Source organism: Homo sapiens, chromosome 21 (genome assembly GCF_000001405.40).
Source record: "Homo sapiens chromosome 21, GRCh38.p14 Primary Assembly".
Lineage (NCBI taxonomy): Eukaryota > Metazoa > Chordata > Mammalia > Primates > Hominidae > Homo > Homo sapiens.
In genome coordinates this window covers 34,956,706-34,978,695 of record NC_000021.9, presented here as the reverse complement: position 1 = coordinate 34,978,695, position 21,990 = coordinate 34,956,706, and the positions used below count along the sequence as shown (strand labels likewise).

At 42.8% G+C, this 21,990-nt stretch overlaps 1 protein-coding gene across 13 annotated transcripts in view, besides 4 other annotated features; it reads left to right on the top strand.

Moving 5' to 3' along the window:
- Positions 1–21,990, top strand: part of RUNX1 (RUNX family transcription factor 1) — a 261,502-nt gene that overhangs the window by 70,607 nt on the left and 168,905 nt on the right. The window lies entirely within an intron of this gene.
- Positions 4,117–4,206: an enhancer, noted in NCBI's record as "active region_18410". NCBI's record gives its function as "activates an Ori minimal core promoter by ATAC-STARR-seq in GM12878 lymphoblastoid cells {active_cell/tissue: GM12878}" and the evidence as "EXISTENCE:reporter gene assay evidence [ECO:0000049][PMID:35858748]".
- Positions 4,230–4,524: a silencer, noted in NCBI's record as "tiled region #10330; K562 Repressive non-DNase unmatched - State 8:EnhW". NCBI's record gives its function as "represses a minimal TATA promoter and a strong SV40 promoter by Sharpr-MPRA in K562 cells {active_cell/tissue: K562}" and the evidence as "EXISTENCE:reporter gene assay evidence [ECO:0000049][PMID:27701403]".
- Positions 4,337–4,386: an enhancer, noted in NCBI's record as "active region_18409". NCBI's record gives its function as "activates an Ori minimal core promoter by ATAC-STARR-seq in GM12878 lymphoblastoid cells {active_cell/tissue: GM12878}" and the evidence as "EXISTENCE:reporter gene assay evidence [ECO:0000049][PMID:35858748]".
- Positions 17,553–18,108: an enhancer, noted in NCBI's record as "NANOG hESC enhancer chr21:36332885-36333440 (GRCh37/hg19 assembly coordinates)". NCBI's record gives its function as "activates a minimal SCP1, AML or CMV promoter by ChIP-STARR-seq in primed H9 embryonic stem cells {active_cell/tissue: H9 hESC(primed)}" and the evidence as "EXISTENCE:reporter gene assay evidence [ECO:0000049][PMID:30033119]".

The following is a 21,990-nucleotide window of genomic DNA, read 5'->3' as shown; positions in this document are numbered from 1 at the left end:
CCTTGATCTGGCTCACAAAATGAGCAGCAAATGTTGAAAAGTTTCGTGCTTTTTAACCAGGAAACACACAACTATGAAATATGTGAAGCTGCAGTAGACAAGTTTTAAAAAAACAAAAACTTTCCAATAAAGTAATGGTCTCCCAGTGACATCTTGTTATACTGGTAAAAATAGATCCCTAACTTTGACAGTATATTTTTCCTTCTGGGAAACTACAAATAATAACACATCAAAATTATGCTTTTTGTCACATTCCTGAGGACAGTAAAAATGAAAGGAAAGTTTATTTTTTATTTGTAAAACAACATTTCCATTCATTTATTCCACAAGGACCACTTATTTTTGAGTTCTGTAGAAAACTAACGTAGAATGAGCACCCTCATACTTATCAATAGAAAGTAAGTCATCATGGCAGAATTTTTTACAGATTTCTCATTGGTCAAAAAATACTGTTTATGGGCGGGGCGCGGTGGCTCATGCCTGTAATCCCAGCACTCTGGGAGGCCGAGGCGGGCGGATCATGAGGTCAGGAGATCGAGACCATCCTGGCTAACACGGTGAAACCCCGTCTCTACTAAAAACTACAAAAAATTAGCCGGGCATGGTGGCACGTGACTGTAGTCCCAGCTGCCCTGGAGGCTGAGGCAGGAGAATGGCTGAAGCAGGAGAATGGTGAACCTGGGAGGCGGGGCTTGCAGTGAGCCAAGATCACTGCCACCGCAATCCAGCCTGGGCGACAGAGAGAGACTCCGTCTCAAAAAAAAAAAAAATGCTGTTTACTCTAAAGACATTGGACATTTTACACATTGCCTCATGAATCCATGATGAAAACTATGAAGTAGATGGAATAACAGTTACCTTCCTTACATAGCAATAGGTCACACTAGAAGGATGTTGGAAGAAAGATGGAGACAGCTTTTTGGCCTCTCCAGCGACATTCTCCATTCAGGTTTACAGCCAAGTCATTCCAGTGTGTTTCCAAGCTCCAAATATCTTTGTAGAAGTAACTTCTAAAAGTATGTGTGAAGTCACACATAATCCAGTCTGGATCAAATACCTGACTGTCCCCACTTCCATGTGTATATGTTGTAATGACAGTTTAAAGTATGTTTTGGGATTGAAATCCTACCCCTCTCTCCGCAAAAGCAGGTAGTAATAGGTTAAAAATGATGAACCATCAAATTATAGTTTTGGCTGATAGGAGTCTTGGAGTGACTTGACCAAAGAAAAATTGTATAAGATTGTCAAACTGCTTGGTACCTAAATCCATAGCCCAAGCTCAGTGAACCAAGATAACCCTCCTGGGGTAGTTTTCCAGAGCTTGTAAAAGCAGTAAGTTTTTTCCTCTAAATGGAAGATCATTGAAAGATAATAGCAGTTCACCAATTATTATTATATTGGCTCAAAATTCCCTTCTTCAGAAGGATGAGCCATCGATCTTTGGGTACAGTGGGGAATTCAACACCGTGTAGACTACTCTTATTTTTCAAATTTTTCTTTTCTTTTTAAAGACAAAATGGATAATTTTGATTGATTAAACAGAAATTCACACAATAGCCATAGTCAGTAAAACGGCAGCAACAACAAAACACAACATTATATGCTCAACCACTCTAATTTATTAAATTATACAGAGATTTCTCCAAAGAATATCCATTGAATTGGTGAAGATAAATATTTTCACAGCTATTACTTAATGGAAGGAACATTTCCCCGTTTGAGTGAGGTAATTTGGATAGCAAGAGTAAATTCAAGACTTCAGAGGCATACTATGTTGATGCTCACCCTCACACTGCTATGTTTTGTGAGATCCACCTCTAGCATTTTTTTTTTTAACTTTTCTACCGATATCACCTAGCAGAATGCGTAGCAAAAAATAAAGGCAGATTATTTTACAGGAAACACTGGTAGCCTAAGGGACGTATAATAACCAACATGTAACTGATCATGGTGCTCTAGCAATATTGTCTTCCCCAGTAGTTCTCTAGGTTCTCTGTTTGATTTTTGAATCAAATCTTTCACATAGCCTATCAATTGTCAACCTATTTGGCTAGGAGATTGTATCCGTCCTCCCTTCTGTGACGCAGACTTCACCAGACATCAGAGAGCTTCCACGGTGTTCGTCAAAATGTCATGGCAAAGCAAGCTTGGGCCTACACCATGCAGTCCCAATGGGAGCAATATTGCACCCAGGGGGATGAAAATTAGTATTCAGGGATAGAAAAAGTCTTACAATTATAATGACTTGTGGACCTCCAAAGCTCAATCCTACTGGATAAAACTTATTCCTTAGTGTTTTACTTCCCTCATTAGGGAGAATTTAAATTTAATTTTATTTTTCTCCTGGAAGGATAGTGATCATGAAAAAAGGAGCCCATATATTTGAGGAAATTTTTCAATTTGGGAAAGGCAGTTGATGATATACTCTTGCAAGATATGTGCTAATAAATACTAACTTCAAAATGTAAGCAAGAGCTTTGTATTAATCTGTAATCTCAACTAGATCTCATTGAGCTTGAACAGTGTGAAAATGATTAGCTTTTCTTCTGTAATTTTTTTTTTTTTTTGGAAAGACCAATTGATGTATTTTTTTCAATCTCCCTCCAAATTTCCAATAAGACACAAGTAATTTTCAGAGTTAAACTCTGGCTTTCACCTACATTTTGTCCTGATTTTGTGAATACTGACTCAAAAATATTTGATAGCTTTCTTCTGCAGATAAAACACAACTCAACTGGCCGTGAAACCAAGACCTTCCATAATTTAGTCTCAATCCATCTTTCCAAAATTACTTTCCTTAACTCTCCTTTATAAACTCTTCACTTCAACAAATAATCCTCTCTCTTCTCTGTTTTCAGCCACCCTGTCTCCCCTCCAAAACTATTTCCGCCCCCCAAGAGCTACACACCCAACTGCTCTTCTGTGTCACAAATGTCACTGTTTTTACAAAGATTTTTGCAATTGCTACCCTCTCCACCCCTCCTTCCCTAGCTAGAAGCCTTCTCTCCCCTCTTCTAAACCCACACAGCTCACCATTTGGACAACTTTTAGGAAGTTTAGCACTTTCCACCACACACTATTGTTTTAAGTACAGTCACCCCCCAGTATCCATGGGGGTATTGGTTTCAGGACCCCTCTGGAATAACAACATCTTCAGATGCTCAAGTCTCTTTTCTAAAATGGTGTAGTATTTGCATATAACATGTGCACATCCTCCTGTATACTTTAAATCAACCCTAGATTACTTATAATACCTAACATAATGTAAATGCTATGCAAATAGTTGTTATACTGTATTGTTTAGGGAAGAATGACAGGAAAAAAGTCTGCGCATGTTCAATACAGACAACCATCCATATATACAGATCTATACGTAGAGAGATCCACAGTTGGTTAAATCCATAGAAGCAGAGCAGAGCTTCTTTATGAAGCCAAATATGTATCTTCATAATATCCCGGAGGGCAGAACTTCGGTCTGATTTGTAGGTATTGAGGTCTAATGAAAATAGCTAGGGAAAAGATCCAGGGGGAAGTCTTTTCCTCCACCACTTACTAGCTGGCTCTGCCTAGTATTACACTTGCTTGCCTTCTCTTTTAGCATATGGGCAATTTATCCAATCACTCTGAGCCTAGTTTCCACATCTAGCTGGCTCTGCCTAGTATTACACTTGCTTGCCTTCTCTTTTAGCATATGGGCAATTTATCCAATCACTCTGAGCCTAGTTTCCACATCTATAAAATACGGTGAGAACTTAATAAGTTAAAATTTCTAGCACATAGTAGATATTTAAAACATATTAAATAAATTCATGCCATTATAACGTCACAGTCTGTTACTTAAAATGTTTTCCTCAAAAGTCTCAATGGCTGACTCACAAAAACAGATTTGTTAATGGATCTGTTAAAATAAACAAGAGCAAAATAGCCTTTGCTATTTTTGTATAGTGTTAATCATTCTGTTCCTTAAAGAAAAGTCCCAGGGAACTACTTAGTGTGGGGAAGGCCGTTTCTAGAAGGAGTGCCGGCAGAGAGCAGGAGCAGGAGTTGGCATCACAAAGCTGGTGCTGTCTTCATCTACACCACATTTCATGTCAACTTCATTTTATTCATTTTGTGCCCCTCATCTGAACCCTCAGTTTCAGGTTTGGGAAACAGAACCAAATGGAACATGAAATGTAAAACAAGGTCCAGCCAAACACAGTGAGCTCTCTCCGGCTTCAAGTCAAAACTTGGCTGAACCACAAAGCTTCACCTGGTTTTGAGTAAAAACCACACTGAACCACCTTTTTTTTTTTTTCACGGTTTCGGTTTGCAAATGGGGTTTCATGCAAAGCTTGCCCTCGTTTCCGTAGAGTTCCCTGGCAGAGGACAGGCAAGTCTTCAGCTAATATGGACTCTGCCCCATGAGCACCCCTGGCCAGCCTGTGTGGAGGTGACTGGTGGTTACTTATTGTTCGGATCTCAGAAGGCCTGGGTGTTGAGTAGTCTTGCTCGTGTGATGATTAAGATGACAGAAAACTATCAGGCATATCAAGAAGAAGTACAATCAGTTAGTTTCTCTCTTTGCACTTGGCTTTTACGAAAACAGAGAAGAAAATTTTTGAAAAGCCATGAATTTATGAAGGGGTGGGAGGAGCATAGCCTAAAGCTCCATCTACGTGTGGAGGCAAAGAGATCTGAAACAATTCTTTGGATAATCCAGGCCAAAATTCCGATTCATCAGAAATATTGAGATAATAAAGGCAAAGTGGGCTAGAAGAGTGCACTTGTGGAAGTATGAAAACAAGCTCAATTTTCCCCTCAATGTGTAAATGTAGATAAAGCCATCATATCAGCGATGCATTTCTCCCTGGAGACTTGTAGTGGATTTGGTGTCATTCATGTGCTATGCTGGCAATAGTAGAAAGGATTAAAATGTTCCTTAGAAGCTAACAGTGTCAGATGAGCCATTTGCCCTGGGTGGTGATGACATTTGGGAATAAGGTTTAATATAAAGTGTCTCCAAACTGAGTTTTCTATGACATGGAGGGAGGTTTGTGTTGTTCTCTTGGTAAATTAAACTAGTACTTGGGATTTACAAGCAGATTTATAGGAGGATTGTAATGATGAATGCATGAAGAATGGATTGGATCAGTGATAAAACATTTATTATATCAATACATGCAAAGTTTGGAAAACTGTAAGAGAAAATAAATGGCCTCTTAAAAATCACTTATATATGTATAGTATCATAAAATTCACATACAAAAATTTCCCACACATGATGACACTGGATTAGTCCTGGAAAGATTATGTGACTTGTCCAATCCAGGTCAGGAAGCCAGTACGTTGCAGGGATTTGAGCTTCCCTCGTTCTTCTCCATTCACAGACAAAAATTTGTCCTTGGCATGATAACTATGTAGCAAGGGAGACAATCAAATACACCAACCACTACAATATAACATCACAGGCACCAAAGTGGGACTATCTTTTAGAGATGTGAGGGGCCTGAATAAAAGATTCCTACATCTGCCTCCTCCCTTTGTCCATATAAGCATGCAGGACTGAAAACTATGAGATAGTCTCTAAGAGACAGATGGAGGGAGAAAGAGCCTTACTGCCTATCTCTAGTGAGCTGGGGAATCCATTCAAGTGATTAGTTTGGGATATATTGGTTTTGAGGATTCCATGAAGTACACAACAAGAGCTCTCAAGGTTCTCCAGAAATGTCAGTCTAGAATTCCAAGGAAATAGTTCTGGGCTGGAGACATGAATTTGGGAGTCACTAATGTAAAAATAATAGATTAATGATCTCACCCAGAGCAAGATGTTGAGGGAGAAAAGTCAAAGGGAGCATCAGGCTCTCTCCAACCCGTGGGTCCAGTTGCATGCAACTGGACAATGGGATTATTATAAAAGAAGATGCCTGCCAAATGATGCCTGCTGTATGGAAGGCTGCACACCACCAATCTCATTCTTTGTAGAGTTAATCAATGCAAAGTCCCAAACCACTTGGTCATTTAAGTAGAAAGTCTTGTCTCTCTAAACCTAACATTTCAACACCTTGCTTATACAGAAGATCAATCAAGAGAAATGTTTTATTTTATGATAAGATTCACAACAGAATTCTATCAAATAGCAAATGTCTTTAGTGATGGTAACATATGATTCATTTGACAAAGCACAAAGCAAAAATTGCATTTATCCATACTTTTTAGGAACAGGAGTTTGCTTTTGGTTATTTTCATTTGTTTGCTGTATAGGGCAATGTATATTGTACATTTCTTTGAGTAGATAATGAGCAAGTGGACACATGAGGCCAGAGATATAAATAATTTTTACTTCCAGAGGTTATTTGTCATGGAACCTAGTAAAACTTCTATTTATTTAATTACCATAGAATTGGAAAATGTTTTGCCATAGAATATTGATATGAAGGCAGAAACCAAATGGACATTTCCCTAGATGAAAAGTATGAATTCAAGGCCCCCAGTGGTCAATGTTGGGCTCCTTAGTTCAATATTTTAGGAGTCATCTGAAAGTCAGAGCAGGACAGGCAGTGAAATTTCCAGTTTTTCTGGTAAAAATGAGCTTATCCAGGTGCCATATAAATGGAATGAACTACAGAAAGATTTGGGTAGTGGATATAAAAATGCCATGTAAACTTGAAAGTTGGCCTGTTAATGTGTTCAGGAGAAAGTGTTCTAAACTATATTTTTAAAATTATGGTCTCTAAGAGATCAGTTATAACCCTGCAAAGGGTCATTAAAATCATGCCTGAGATCATTCCTCAGTGAAGACATCAGTGCAATCCACTGCTTCATCAGGGTAGGCCACAGAAATCCTTTATTAGGCACTGGTGAACCACACAACATGTTGTTATGCTTGTTCTGTAAAATATGTGGTGCTTGAGGTTTGATTGTTGCAATTCATGGGCTCCAAAGAAGCCTTTCTGTCCCCTCTGAGCTGCCGGAGTTTACCTCCCTATCTCTTGCCCTCACATGGGAACCTGTGCCCTACCTTCTGGTGTAGTTAGGCCTGTATTCCCTCCTTCACTTCAGTGAAGGCTAGATATGCACCTTTCCTTCTTTGACAAAGACTTTGTTCATAGTATGTACGCCATACATAATAAATGATGGAAGGGTGGGTGGATAAGATAGATGGTGGTTGGATGGATGGATGGATGGATGGATGGATGGATGGATGGATGGCTGATAAAAATTTTAAATGTATCTGGAAGGTGATAAAAATGATCCAGATAGTAAAGTACCTTCTTAAGATAAAGCAAAAGAATTATCATTCTTTAGAGTGATTATAAGGAAGAATTAATATTAACAAAATTCTCAATGTTTGGCCTTTCCCAGGATTCTCCTTATCAATCTATTATTTAGAAATCAATTAAGGGAAGTTAAGAAATTTTAAGTTACATGCTATATCTTTTAAGATCAGAGTCTTCATTGGCAGCTACTGTGTGTCCTCATAAAATCTTCTTTGATAAAAAAGAACTGATCTAACACTGTATTTCTTCATAGCTCTAGGAGCCTAATACTAATAAGTCAATTCAAACTGTAGATAAGCACAGCATAGTATACATAATCCCAGGCATTTTGGACACATTCTTCGACCTCCCTGAGCCTCAGTTTCCTCATGGACACAGCTGAAATAAATGTATAATACCTACATAAACTATATACCAACATAACCTTATAAGTTTATGAGGATCAAATGGGCGATAGATATAAAACCCTTAGTTTACAAACAGCTAGTAAGTAGTTGAGCCATTACTGCAATCCAAACTTATCTAGCTCTGGAGACCTTTTTTTTTCTTTTAATTTTGAAATAATTTGAACGTACAGGAAAGTTGCGAGAGTAATACAAAGAATGGCTGTATACTCTTCACCCAGATTGACCAACTGTTAACCTCTTGCTACATAAGGCCATGGTTTTCATCAGTGTGCAGTGGGTCCATCATAGTCCATACAAGAACACAACCATGGTGCCTGCCTCACAAGGTTAGTGTGGGGATTAAATGAGTTTGCAGATGTAAAGAATAATATGCACACATTAAGAGTGCACCAAAGTGGAACACGACCTCTGACCAACGTAGGAGCCCAGTGAGGTAAAATGTAAAGGGTGAAGGGAAGTGGAGGGCTGAAAAAACACTGAAGGATTTTTCTGAAGGCTGAAGGTGACTTTTGAGGGCAAAGGCCAATCTTAAAACCCCAGCCATCCAGGATCAGAATAAAACAGCAGTGCCCCTGTTCTTCTGCCACATCTGTCTTCTCCCAGGAAAAGGGCTGAATTTGAACAATCTGCAAAGCATATGAACTGATTTAATTTGGAAAAGTAAGTGCTGCTATTGCCAACCTGATTTCGCCACCCTTAATGGTGTTGGAGTCATCTGTGGTGCTTCCAAAACTAACTGCTGTGATGAGTAGAATATCTCTCCACCACGTCTCCTGACATACCCCCAGCCTTGAAGTGAAAGGTTCCTTTTCCTGATGTTGCCATGATTCTGGGAAGTGAAAAGAGACCTTTCTAAAGCATCTATTTCATTTAGCTGCACAAAGTCTTATCTGAAGGCATGAAAAAGTGTTAAATACCGTAGCCCACATAAATTATCTCAATGCATAACAAGTGTGTTCATAAAGTAATTATCTCTGGAGGCAAGCCATAGCTTGGAGAAGGAAGACATGAACGTCTGCCATCCAGCCCTTCACATCTATGGAGGCTGCACATGGTCACTGCAAGAAATGTCAAAATCCCCAGAACAGATATGATCCATACCTTGTAAAATGTTCTGTATCCCACATAAAACAATCCTCAAGATGATCAATTTTGCAAAGTAAGCGTGACACCAGTCTTTTGTCTTTCTTTCAGTTCTCATTCCACTTTTGACTTATTTGTGGAAAGTTATAATTAGATTCTGCCTGGCCTTTGTTTTTTTTTTGCTTTAACTGATAAAGCGCTGTAAATCCTGGACATCACCCACGAGTGCAGTCATTTATGAATTTTGCTGTTTTTTTTTTATGCATTGCACCATATGCAGACCCAGCTAAGAGGCATGGGTCCGTGTTCCTGGCATGCAGGAGAGTCACTGAGAGATATCATATGGTCTCCTGGCAGAAGTACAAAGTGCCTCTCGCTGTTTGATCTACTGTCTTAAACTTAAATGCAAAATCTGATAATTGGGTCAGGCAGAAGAAACTGAGCAATAAAGTTCTTTTCATTTCCTTTTGCTATTTCTCCACGTTTCATCTTTTCTTCCTTTCTTGTCCTCTCTTTCTCCCATCCCCATTTTCTGTGTTTTTTTTTTCTCTGTTGGCCCCTGCAGGAGACAGCCTGCCCTGTGAGTAGAATGGATTAGAAGAGATGGGTTTGTGGCTAGACAACCTGTCAGAGGGTCCCCAGTCACCTCCACCTGCTCCCTGCTCTATGCGCATTTTTGCTCCATTAGCAACCACACTGGGTAACCATCTTCAGCTTGCAAACACCAAAGTCGTGGCAGGTTTACATGTTGAGAAATATTACTGCCTTTTCAGACAGGGTTGTGTTTGATGTAAAAGGAATTCATCGTAGTCGCCCCGGTTTGGGCCATTAAGCAGACAGAGGCCTGTACTTCAAAGGGCGCAAGAGATAAATGAAAACTGAACTTCCTCTTCACACTGAAGGAGACCTGTAATAGGAAAAGCCTGACTTATACCTTTCTGCTCAACAGTTTCTAAATGGGGAGGCAGAACTCTTCCTTCTTGATTTCATCACTCCAAGAACTATTGCAGAATTGCCGGCGGGGTTACTGAATTGTTTTAGCTACATGTAGAACCACGTAGGTCTCCTAAAATACATGAATTTGGCACTCGCTGCAGAGTTCAGAAAAGTTCAGAAATGACAACACTTTCTGTTAGCATCATTCTTTCAAATCACAAAGGGCAGTTACCCTCAGGTGAATCATAGAAGTTTTCCACAGATCAGACCACCTGCTCACAGTAGTAGATGCTGCATGGATACCCTCAAGCAGAGTTGGAATGTTCCAGAAACTCCTGGGGTTTGGGGAGGGGGTGCCTGGCAGCCAGGCACACTGGTTGTCCTCATCTACACCCCGTACTGATATTAGTATAGACAATCAGCTGGACTCAGGATAAAGAACATTCTAGAGGGTCTTAGTCTTGAATAAGAAGGCAACAGGGAGGCCACTGAGGAGCGGTAAGGTAGGAAAGGTGTTTGCCTCATGAGGATGTGGAGGATAAGTTTTCCCAATGGTAGCAAAGCCACCCTCTTCCGTGCTGGCTGCCCCACCTGTGGCTCCCCAGGCCACCGCTTTCGGAGGGTCTTGTCCCACATTTGGACTCTTCAGAGGCCACGCCAAAGGACCCTTTCTACCAGGACCTCCATTTCTGAAGCTTCCTAGCATCCTCTCTGATGATCCCATACTGCCTTGCAGCTCTAAGAGACTCTGCGAAGAGACACATTGCTTTGGAGGAATCAGCCCCAGGCCAAAGCAACAAGCAACACCAGAGTCCTGCGGAGAGCTGAGAAGCAACTCGCCCACTCAGACATAGACACACAGATGGACAAACTGGGATGCAGTCCTGGATCTAAACAACTCTGCAACCTGCCTCCTGGGGACATTCACGCCCTTGCCACAGTTGCAGGAAGCTGGATCGGGCGTTTGGGGCTGGTGAGGGAAATACAGCAGCCTGGAAATGTCAATCAGTGTTTTTCTCAGACTTTAAGGCACTGGGAAGTGGGGCCAGGGAGGCGTCCACTGTTTCTCTAGTTGCCTCAGCCACAGCACCTACATTAAGGAGGCTGCAAAACTGGTTTCAATCTGACGTGGAAAAGATGTCTTTCAGCAATTGGTGATTATATGAATTGCCACTCCCTTCGATGGAAGCTGCCTTGGAAATAAAGGCAGTTGCCCTAGTGAGTTCAGTGTGGTTTTGTCAGTCTTCTAGCTGCAGTCTTTCACTCAAACATTTGAGACCCTGCTAGGGAGAGCTCAGAGGATCCCAGTGTTGGGATTAATGAGTCACCCTCACTGTCACAATCACCTCAGGCCTCGTCATTTTATGTAATGTGACTCTGTGTCACTTCTCACCACTATGGGGCTGGAGAATCCTTTTCTCTTTAAAACACTACATTAGACCTTTTCAACTTAACACCAGACTCTTAGACACCCTGTGCATGCCTGCAAAAGGGCTGATTTGAGACAACACTGAGATCCTGTGTTCAGGGCTGGATGGCGAAGTTCAGCCTCCCCCGTGACACTGACGTGGCACAGTTGAGTCTCGGTGGCCTGGTGAGGGGTCCATCCATGATTCCATCAGTCCAGACGAAAGCTCAATGGGAAAACGCTATTCTTCTTTTTTTTTTTTTTTTTTTTTTTTTTTTTTTTTGAGACCGAGTCTCACACTGTCGCCTGGGCTGGAGTGCAATGATGCGATTTTGGCTCACTGCAACCTCCACCTCCCAGTTTCAAGCGATTCTCCTCCCTCAGCCTCCCAAGTAGCTGTGATTACAGGCGCCTGCCACCATGCCTGGCTAATTTTTTGTATTTTTAGTAGAGATAGGGTTTCACTATGTTGGCCAGGCTGGTCTCGATCTCCTGACTTCATGATCCACTCGCCTTGGCCGCCGCGCCCGGCCTGGGAAAATACTATTCTTAAAAACACGTTTGTGAATGTGTTTTCATTACATCCCTAAGATTTTTTTCCACTTACTGAAGAAATTGGATAATTGCATGAATAACCTTTTTATTTTTTAAATATGCCCTTACTCTTAGGACCCCTGCGCTCTCCTTCCTTCACCTCATCTGGCACATTTTCATGAAGAGAACGATTTACAGCCACTGCAGTTCTCTCGTTTGTAGCCTCCATCACCATAAAAAGTGAAAATCGAAAACTCTTGGGTGGAAATTAATGTAGATACAACATTACTACAATTCTTTTATGGCGTATATAACCATAATAGCATTTTCAGTGGGAAAAGCAAAAATAAATAGAAGGGCAAATGATGTTAATTTCCATTTGCAGCAAACGCATAATCAGATCAATTATCTGATCCTTGGGGAAAAAGTAAGTTGTCATTGATTGGTGGGGTGAAGCCTTCTCTGAATGTCCATGACAGAGTGAGATACTTATGGTGTTGTACATTGAAAGCAGTCAATGAGGGGGTGTGGGTTGGGGGCTACCTCACGCCTTCCTCTGGACAGCAGGGCAGTAAACCAAAGCATCTTCTTCTCCCTTCATTGGCCATGTGGCTTTAGGCAAGTGGCTTAACCATTTGGAGCTTGATTTCCACATCTGCTAACTGGGGATAATAAAAGTATCCACCTCATAGCATTGTAAGGTTAAATAAATTGATCCATAGAATGCACTTAAAGTGGCGTGAGGCACTTAGTAAACCCTTGAAAAATGTTTGCTTATCATTTATTATTATTTTAATTATTATTCATGATGCAAGGTAAAGAACAACGTTTGGACTTAGATAATGAAAATCCAAATTTAAGCTCCACTACTTTCTTGCCTTGTGATCTTGGGCAAATTAACCACTCTCAGCCTCAGTTTTCTGATCTGTAAAACAGGGCTCTATCTAATGTATAGAAGTGTGCAGATGAAGTGGGGTAAGAAATGCAAGAGCACTATGTAACTGAATGTGAGACCTCACCAATGTGCCTTTCTCCTGGGGACATCAGAGACCCACAGGAGGGGACTGCTCCATCGAGACCGCCCTGGGATGTGGCTGGCACATAGCCATCCCTGTCCTGGCATGCAGCAGTGAGGATGCTTACTTTCCCAAACTGTTAACCACAGGCCACACAGGTGTCACCAGGTGTGACCCTTAGCAATGTCCTCCTCAGCTTCTCTTTGCAGCTCTGGGGCCAGGTCAGAGAATGGCAAGGCACAAGGAGGTAGATACTTGATTCGGAAATGCCCTAGATTTCAGAGCATCCAGCTTCACAGGACTCCCCTGCCTGGGTGTGTGTGTGTGTGCTCTGTGTCACAGATTTTCATCTCGAGAGTCCCATAACTGGTGAGTATGACCACCAGGAATTCTAGGGAGGAAATGGGGCTCCACAGAAAGTAAACAAGGACATGCAGTTCTTTATACAAATATCCTGCATGAACACTCCAAACATCCTTTTTATTTTTTTGCCATGAATGGGAAAAGCTTTTTTTCTCTTTTTTTCTTTTTCGTGTTTTTTTCTTTTGTTTCAAATTCTTCTCTTGGCTCATTGCTCTTAATGCTTTGTCTCCCTAAAAGAGGTACCTATGTAAAAACGGAAGTATCTGGCCCTACGCAGTGGAAAAAGAGACTAAACCCGAGGCTGCGAGATCATCAGGATTGCATAAAAACGCTCCAGATGATTTTTATTTTCCTTTCCTGACTGGTCTGTTACTGCTTTCTGAAAATTTGGAAATAAAGTGTGGATTATAGGGCACTCAGATCTGTGTGTGTAGATGTGTGGATGTGCATGGCAGTGTGTTGGCATGTGTGTGAGGCTGTGTGTGTGCACGTGCGGGAGCATATGAGTATGTGTGCATATGTGAGAGTGTGCATGTTGTGGGGGACTGTGCACTTGTGTGAAAGTGCATGGAAAGGAGTGTATGTGCGTGTGCATGAGCATGTATGTGTGGATGTAGCATGTGCATGGAAGGCTGTGTGTGAGCATGTGTGTGTATTCACATCCCTGCCTACATTGGTGTGTGCACGTATGTGAGTGTGCTTGTGTGTGGTAGGGTGCGTGTGTGAATGAGTACATGCATGTGTACAAGCACATAGGTGCAAGCATAAGTGTGCATGCGTGTGAGTGTGAGCCTGTGTGTACGTGTGTGCTGAGAGCATTGTGGGTGTTGGTGCTTGTCTAGCCAGCCATCATGCCCTCAGGGCAAGTCAGAAGAGATCATAGGTATTTTGCATTCAATGCGCAGGTGAGGAAGCTGAGGCCCAGAGGACATAATTCACCTGGTCACAAAGCTGGTTTGTGGCAGACACTGGATCAGAAACCATCATACTACTTTTCCTTACTCTTTGCTCCTCTCTGAGACATCACCACCTACAAGGCTGATTCCTCACCTCTGCCTCCCTCAACTTTGTACTTCTTCAACATGAAGGCATAGGGCGTGTCTGTAATTCTAGATTAGTACCAAAATGTCCTTTCATGCCAAAAAGCACACAACCTTCCTTTGTCATCTGAACTTCTTTTCTTTTCTTTTTTTTTTTTTTTTGAGATGGAGTCTCGCTCTGTCGCTCAGGCTGGAGTGCAGTGGTGCAATCTCGGCTCACTGCAACCTCTGCCTCCCGGGTTCAAGCGGTTCTCCTGCCTCAGCCTCCCGAGTAGCTGGGACTACAGGCGTGTGCCACCATGCCTGGCTAATTTTTTGTATTTTTAGTAGAGATGGGGTTTCACCATGTTAGCCAGGATGGTCTCGATCTCCTGACCTAGTAATCTGCTCACCTCGGCCTCCCATAGTGCTGGAATTACAGGCGTGAGCCACCGTGCCCGTCCCATCTGAACTTCTTGAGTTCAGCTTCCATGGTGCTGCTGTTGGCATCACTTGTTCCAGGTCACTTGGTTGAGTTTGTTGGTTGTTCTCTGTTCCTCCAGTGGTCAGCACGTATCCCCCAACTGGGCTAGACCCTTATCGCAGTGGCTGATACTTCCTCTCCCTCATCAGTTCTGTGAGTACAGGGGTAAAACCTGGAATGAATGAATGAATGAATGAATGCCATCCCAATCTTCCATCTACATGATAAACTTTATCTATTTGAAATTGAGGCATGCAGGCTCTTAGAATATACAGAGATCAGGTGTGCTGCTTGCTTGTGCCAGGCTCAGGGTTCCTTGTACCTGACAGTCAGGCCCAGTGGGTCTCTCGAAAGCCTCCCTTCTGGAGGAATCTGCTCTCACATTAACTGTGCTCTGGATCTCCCTGTTTCAGCGTCGGGGTAGAGACAGCTGTGCTGAATAATGCCCCATTGATTCACCGTCAAAATCCACATCTTGTCTCGCCTCCGGACCTGCCCAGTTGTGATACTTCTTGGGGGTGGACTATAGCTTGAACAACTTACAGATCAAGGGAGGGAGAATCAAAGGCCACCCTTGGCTGTCAAAGTTCCCTTATTTCAGGTCTTTTCTTCTCCTTCTCCCATGGTTGCTGGGCAAATAGAAGGATGGATGTTGAACCTCTGAGTGCAACCAGCTCACATCATATTTGAAAACATTGAGGTTCAGTGACCAATACTGAGCTGCTCAGTCAGTGGCCAAACTAGGACGAGAGACGACTCTCAGTTCTGGGCTTTTTCATCCTCACGTAGCAGCAACCTGGTCTTACAAGGACTCCTCTCTGCAGGAGCTTTAAAAGGCCACTACTGTCCTGGACAGCCTCTCTGCAGATGTGCCGGGGGGAGGAGTGTCATCTTCCACGTGGACCCAGCACCTTCGTCCCAGTTGGCCATAAACACAGAGCAGTGGTTCAGGGTTCAGGGAAGCCAGGACTGGTCTTTGGAAACCAAAGAGTGTGCTCCTTCGCACCCTAGGTTCTTCGTGGGCGTTTCTTCTGTGCTGCCTGCTGGGCTGAGCGCTTAAAGATACAAACACCAGAGTCCCAGCCCTGTCCCAGGAGGACTGCAGTCTAACCTGTGCTCTGTTAACAGAGTTCTCAGCCTTGACTGCTCCTTAGAACCGCCTTCGGAGCTTTTAAAACTCATTGAGAACAAAGTGCTGATGTTGGGCAAGGGTGTTTCCTCCTTCCCTCCGTTTGCTGGGGGCTCTCTTAGATGATAATAGGGCAGGCCTGTGATGTGGTGGCAAAGTTCAAGAATACATATTCAGATTTTATTCCCATAGCCAAACTCACCAAGGTTGTCAGGACAGTGACAACGGTGAGGCAGGAAAGTGAGCACTGTGGGTCAACCTACTCATTTGCTTCTCAGAAGAAACGCCATGTTCCCCATCTCTGAATCACCCTTTGCAAAATGATTGCAACGCGAATGCGTATGTCTGTGAACGAGGGAGTGGAAACTTGCGTGGTGCATAAATCTGGATTTGGACTGTATAGCCGAGATCTTTTGGCTTAACTTTTTCACCCAAGCACAGCCTCAAAATGCCAGGGTGGCGTGGTAAAGAAAAAACACACAAACAACAATCACATCAATGGTTGAGCAATCTTAAGATTTAACAAAATAGAAGGGAAAAATCTTGCCAGATTACTACAAATTTTTATAAGTCGTTCCTTTACTGGCTGTTTGGTGATATTATCTTTTATATGCTAGCAAAAGGGAAGAGTTAACAGGAGAATGAAAAGCAGAGAAAGAAACTTTCTTTTGGTCAAACAGAACATCCTGTTTTGAGTTCTAAACAAACTCTTAGTTGTGGAGTTCTCAGTCCTTTGCCTCAGGCGAAACACAGCCTCTTCTTCCTAAATGTTTAAAAATATTTAGTGGGAGCAAACAGTGCAATGAACTTCTCAAACATCAAAACAATCTATAAATGGAAAAAAAAGAATTTAAATACAACTTACAGCTGGGCACAGTGGCACATGCTTATAATCTCAACACTTTGGGAGGCCAAGGCAGGAGGATCACTTAAGCCCAGGAGTTTGAAACCAGCCTGGGCAACATAGCAAGTCTCTACAAAAAATTTTTTTTCAAAAATTAATCAGGCAAGGTGGCATGCACCTGTAGTCCCAGCTACTCAGGAGGCTGAAATGGGAGGATCACTTGAGCCCAGGAGATTGAGGCTACAGTGAGTTGTGATTATGCCACTGCACTCCAGCCTCGGTGACAGAGTGAGACTCTGTCTCACAAAAGGAAAAAGAAAAAAAAATTCCACTAAAAACAATAAGAACTGTTGAATGTACCAGAATGCATACTGACAGAAGCACACTAATTCAGAGACATAATTTACTGAAAAATAGGAATCAATCCTTCAACACCAAATATGCCTGGTCCTCCCTCTTCTTATGGAAAATTTATTTGGCAAAGAATATTGTCTGTGTGTCATGACTAAAATTGTTGCTCACCTAGGGACTGTAACCGCCTGACTTACGGCCAGGTGTCGTTATTAGTAAAATATACGAGCTGCTACTGCTTGCCTTAAAGTCACTTTCCTCTGTCCTGCTAATACATTGTTAAAGAAAGTGATAGGCTCTTCACAAGCTACAAGGAACTGAAGTTCAGATGATCAGAATCACTAAATTGCAAAGTCTGTTGTGGAAATTTTACCCAGACTTTTCTTCAGATATCACAATTTGTCACTCTCTCATGTAGTGAGTCAAAATATTTAGAAAACGTATGAATGTCCTTGTTTCTGTTATTGTTATTATTATTATTATTATCATTATTATTATTATTATTTTGAGATAGAGTCTTGCTCTGTCACCAGGCTGGAGTGCAGTGGCGCAATCTCAGCTCACTGTAACATCCGCCTCCCCTGCTTCAGCCTCCTGAGTAGCTGGGACTACAGGCATATGCCACCACGTCCGGCTAATTTTTTGTGTTTTAGTAGAGACGGGGTTTCACCATGTTGGCCAGGATGGTCTCGATTTCCTGACCTCATGATCCATCCATCTCAGCCTCCCAAAGTGCTGGGATTACAGGCGTGAGCCACCACGCCCAGCCATGAATGTCCTTGTTTCTTAAAGTTTATTTGGTTTTGTTAAAATCTTGTCACTAATGAGGAGCTTTTATAGCTCCCAGACTACCTACGGCTTCTTATGCTACAAGACTATTTTATCTTCACAACTGTCTGCTAATTCCAAAGGACTCAGCTGATGATACAATTCCTGAATAAGAGGGGACCTTTGCAGGCAGCTCCCCAGCAGACTCCTCCTAATCTTCCCATTGTCATTCACCCCAAGACATTTACAAGGCTCTTTGTCCAATCTTCAGGCAGCTTTCCCTTCTCCCTGTGTTTACAGACACACACATTAAACACTAAGAGTTTGTTCATCGGTCACAGCCAGCACCATAAGGGATTCTTGGGGTAAAAATTATACACAAGCAACAAAAAATAAACTGCCTCCTAGAACTCAGCCACGGTTGCAGCCACCAAGCACCAAAGGGCCCTCTATTGCTTCATCTTAAGGCTGGGCAAGTCTCAGAATGTCTTTGACCTTAACCTTTGATTGATTCTATCCATGAAAGCCTCAGCTTACTGGTTTACATTTATAACACTGACAGATGTAACAACAAAATCCAGAAATCTAAGTAGTTATTGCAGTATGTTCCAAAATAGGTGTTCCAAATCAGATTCAGTGACCCAAGCTTCTTCCATCCATGGCTCTTCCATCTCCCAAACGTGTCATGTTGGTCTGCACCCAGTCAGCAGGAAAGGGTAAGAGTGGAGGATCTTGCAGGGGAGCCTTTGGGACCAAGCCTGGGATGCTCCCCACTTCTGTTCATAGTCCACTGGTCAGACTCAGTCACAAGCCAGCTTCCACCTATCGGGAGCCGGGGCAGCAGGGAGCCCAGGACATTTCTGTAGTCATGGACCCAGGAAGAACAGGAAATGGATTTGGTGAACACATGGTTGAGTCTCTACCACACACAGAACAGCTGTGTTCCTGGAAATTCCCAGATTTTGCCCCAAGCTTCTCTCTTGTGACCGATGCCCCGATCTGGTGCTGGACCCCTGCCTGTGTTACTGAGTTCTGCTCTTCTGTGTCTCTGCTCGCTGACCCCCTGTGCAAGCCGACCTCCACATGCCAGATTTCCCACTGGAGCCCTCTGAACATAACCTCACCTGCCAGCCCAGTCCTACACCCCTGGTGCTCCCCTCCTCATCCAGGTAGCCCCCTTGACCCTGTTACTAGGTTGCCCACCCTGCACAATTGCTCCTTCTCTAGTCCTCACTGTTCTTCCTCAGTACTGATGGGTTCCCAGCAGGGATCAGCCTCTCCCCAGAAGACTAGGCTTATCAGCTTTAGGACCAGCTGGAGGCACTCAGTGCTCTTGATACTTTTTCCTTCTAACTCCAGTTCCCAGCTGAGCTTTCTCCCTCAGGTACTCAGGTTCCTAAAGAAATGAACCACCCACCACCACTCATCCCAACCCGGATGAGATGCTTCCAGCTCCTTAACTTTTTCTAAATATTTGCTTCTTTAGTACGTTCAGGTCTTCTTATCTTCTCTCTTCTGGTCTTATTTTTAATGCACTTCAGGGCCTTAACTCTGTGTCTCTCTCTAACTGCCAAAGGAATCTGTAGTTTATTTTCTTTCTATTTATTCACCAACATCCACACTGCATTTATGATGTGCTAGGCACTGTTCTCCATGCCTTAGTATTAGCTTGTGTAATCCTCAGAATCCTATGAGGTAGATACATTGTTATCCCCATTTTGAGGTGAAGGAACTGAGGGACAGAGAGCTTGCGTACCTTGCCCAGGGTCACGCAGCTGGTAGCTTCTCCCAGGAAAGTCACAGTGCACTTCTTTGTTCCCCTAACAATACCACTGGAGACCTGTAGCTCAAAAAACATTGAGTCTTTTTTTTTTTGGATATGTCTTTTTTTATTATTATACTTTAAGTTTTAGGGTACATGTGCACAATGTGCAGGTTAGTTACATATGTATACATGTGCCAGGCTGGTGTGCTGCACCCATTAACTCGTCATTTAGCATTAGGTATATCTCCTAATGCTATCCCTCCCCACTCCCCCCACCCCACAACAGTCCCCAGAGTGTGATGTTCCCCTTCCTGTGTCCATGTGTTCTCATTGTTCAATTCCCATCTATGAGTGAGAACATGCGGTGTTTGGTTTTTTGTCTTTGCGATAGTTTACTGAGAATGATGATTTCCAGTTTCATCCATGTCCCTACAAAGGACATGAACTCATCCTTTTTTATGGCTGCATAGTATTCCATGGTGTATATGTGCCACATTTTCTTAATCCAGTCTATCATTGTTGGACATTTGGGTTGGTTCCAAGTCTTTGCTATTGTGAATAGTGCCGCAATAAACATACGTGTGCATGTGTCTTTATAGCAGCATGATTTATAGTCCTTTGGGTATATACCCAGTAAAGGGATGGCTGGGTCAAATGGTATTTCTAGTTCTAGATCCCTGAGGAATCACCACACTGACTTCAACAATGGTTGAACTAGTTTACAGTCCCACCAACAGTGTAAAAGTGTTCCTATTTCTCCACATCCTCTCCAGCATCTGTTGTTTCCTGACTTTTGAATGATCGCCATTCTAACTGGTGTGAGATGGTATCTCACTGTGGTTTTGATTTGCATTTCTCTGATGGCCAGTGATGATGAGCATTTTTTCATGTGTCTTTTGGCTGCATAAATGTCTTCTTTTGAGAAGTGTCTGTTCATATCCTTTGCCCACTTTTTGATGGGGTTGTTTGTTTTTTTCTTGTAAATTTGTTTGAGTCTTTAGAGCAAGGAAGGACTTAAAATCATTTGCCTAGCTGGGCTGGTTTCATTTTACGAATGTTCACTGAGCCTCTGTAGGGGAGGGGAAGGGGTTCGCCATAAGCACACAGCTGGGCGCTGGCAGTGTCTAGACTTGGAGTCCCGTGTTGTCTACTTGCTCAGTAATGGGCACTGTTTCTGCTCTGTTTTGTCCTGGCCACACATCAGCCTGTTAGACAGCCCTTTATCTCACAGGAGGTAAATAATTGTAATTCTTCTGAGTGCCCCCAAATTTGTCTGTCTTTCAAAAAAGATGAACTAGAAGGAGTTATTATTTTACCGCCATCCTTTACAAGGATGCATTTGTTGGGAGACTTGTACAAACAAACCACTGGCAAGAGAAATTCCCATTGGTGGCCTGACGGGCAAAAGGGTTGGCTACTGGGACAGACATCCTGCCCCATACCCCTCAGATGAAGCCATAGAGTAAACTGCCTACACTACATGTGCCGATAGCCGGACATGACATCAGCCTCGGGATTCCAGATGACCCTGAAAAGGCTAAAGATTTCCAAGACAAGAACACTTCAGTTTATAAACACAATCAAATGGCCAGAGGAGGTGTGTGCCTCATTCCGGGATCCTTGCAAAAGCTCAATGATTATGATGTGTGAATATCATCATGATGTGTGTCTAGAATGTACGAATATCTGAACGGCCCAGAGGTCTTCAGTCTATCACCCTGTTATCCTCGGATAATAGAGAAAGGATGAGGGAAAAGCCCAGGCCAAACTCCAAGTGGGACATTTTTTTCATGGCACCCAGGTGGCACTGGAGAGGTACACAGGCACCCCTTGCCCAGAATTCCAGGAGTACTTAATAAGGTAGTCTCTCAGGGGGCCACCTCGTTAGCTCAAGGAAGCATTTACCTTCCAAAGACAAATGAGTTCCTGGCTTGCCCCAGGTAAGGGCACTGTGTGTTGAACTTTTCACATTTCACGAGCCATCCTGGCTCCTGGCTTCCTGTCACAAACATTTATATTTCCTGCTCATTCGCCCCTAGTGTTCCAGGGAGTAGTGAGGTTTTATAATTGATAATTATCACATTTAGTGCCCCATAACGCTTTTCATCTTCAAAGCAGTTGGCAAATATTACCTAACACACCCACGATGTCGGCCAAGTCAGAGTTTCTCTCCCTATTTGGCAGAGAGGAGACAGCCTGGCCATGCGTCAGGTGAGCATCAGGTCACAAAGCTCAGAGGCTTCGTGGCCAGCTTCTTTCTTGTGTCACCTTTCCCTGGCATCAGATCCACTCCTTCCAAAAAGAACAATGTGGGTGCCTGTCCTAGGGGCACAGGCTGTGCTCTGTAACCCGTGGCCCTGCCACGTGGAAATCATCAGGTTATTTTTAAGCTCATTCTTTGCAGCAAGCCTGGTGGGTAAATTCAAGACTGAGGAACAAGAGTTAGTTTACCTCACAAATGGAAGTAATTTTGTAAGCTTTGAGGACTGAGATCTATGATGTAGTGGTATGCCCTGCATATCACTGTATATATGGGAGAGAAAAAGAGGAAGAGGAGGAGAACGAGCAGGATGGGGCAAATGGGCTCAAATGTTCTAGCAATTCAGATCAACTTTGCTCAGTAA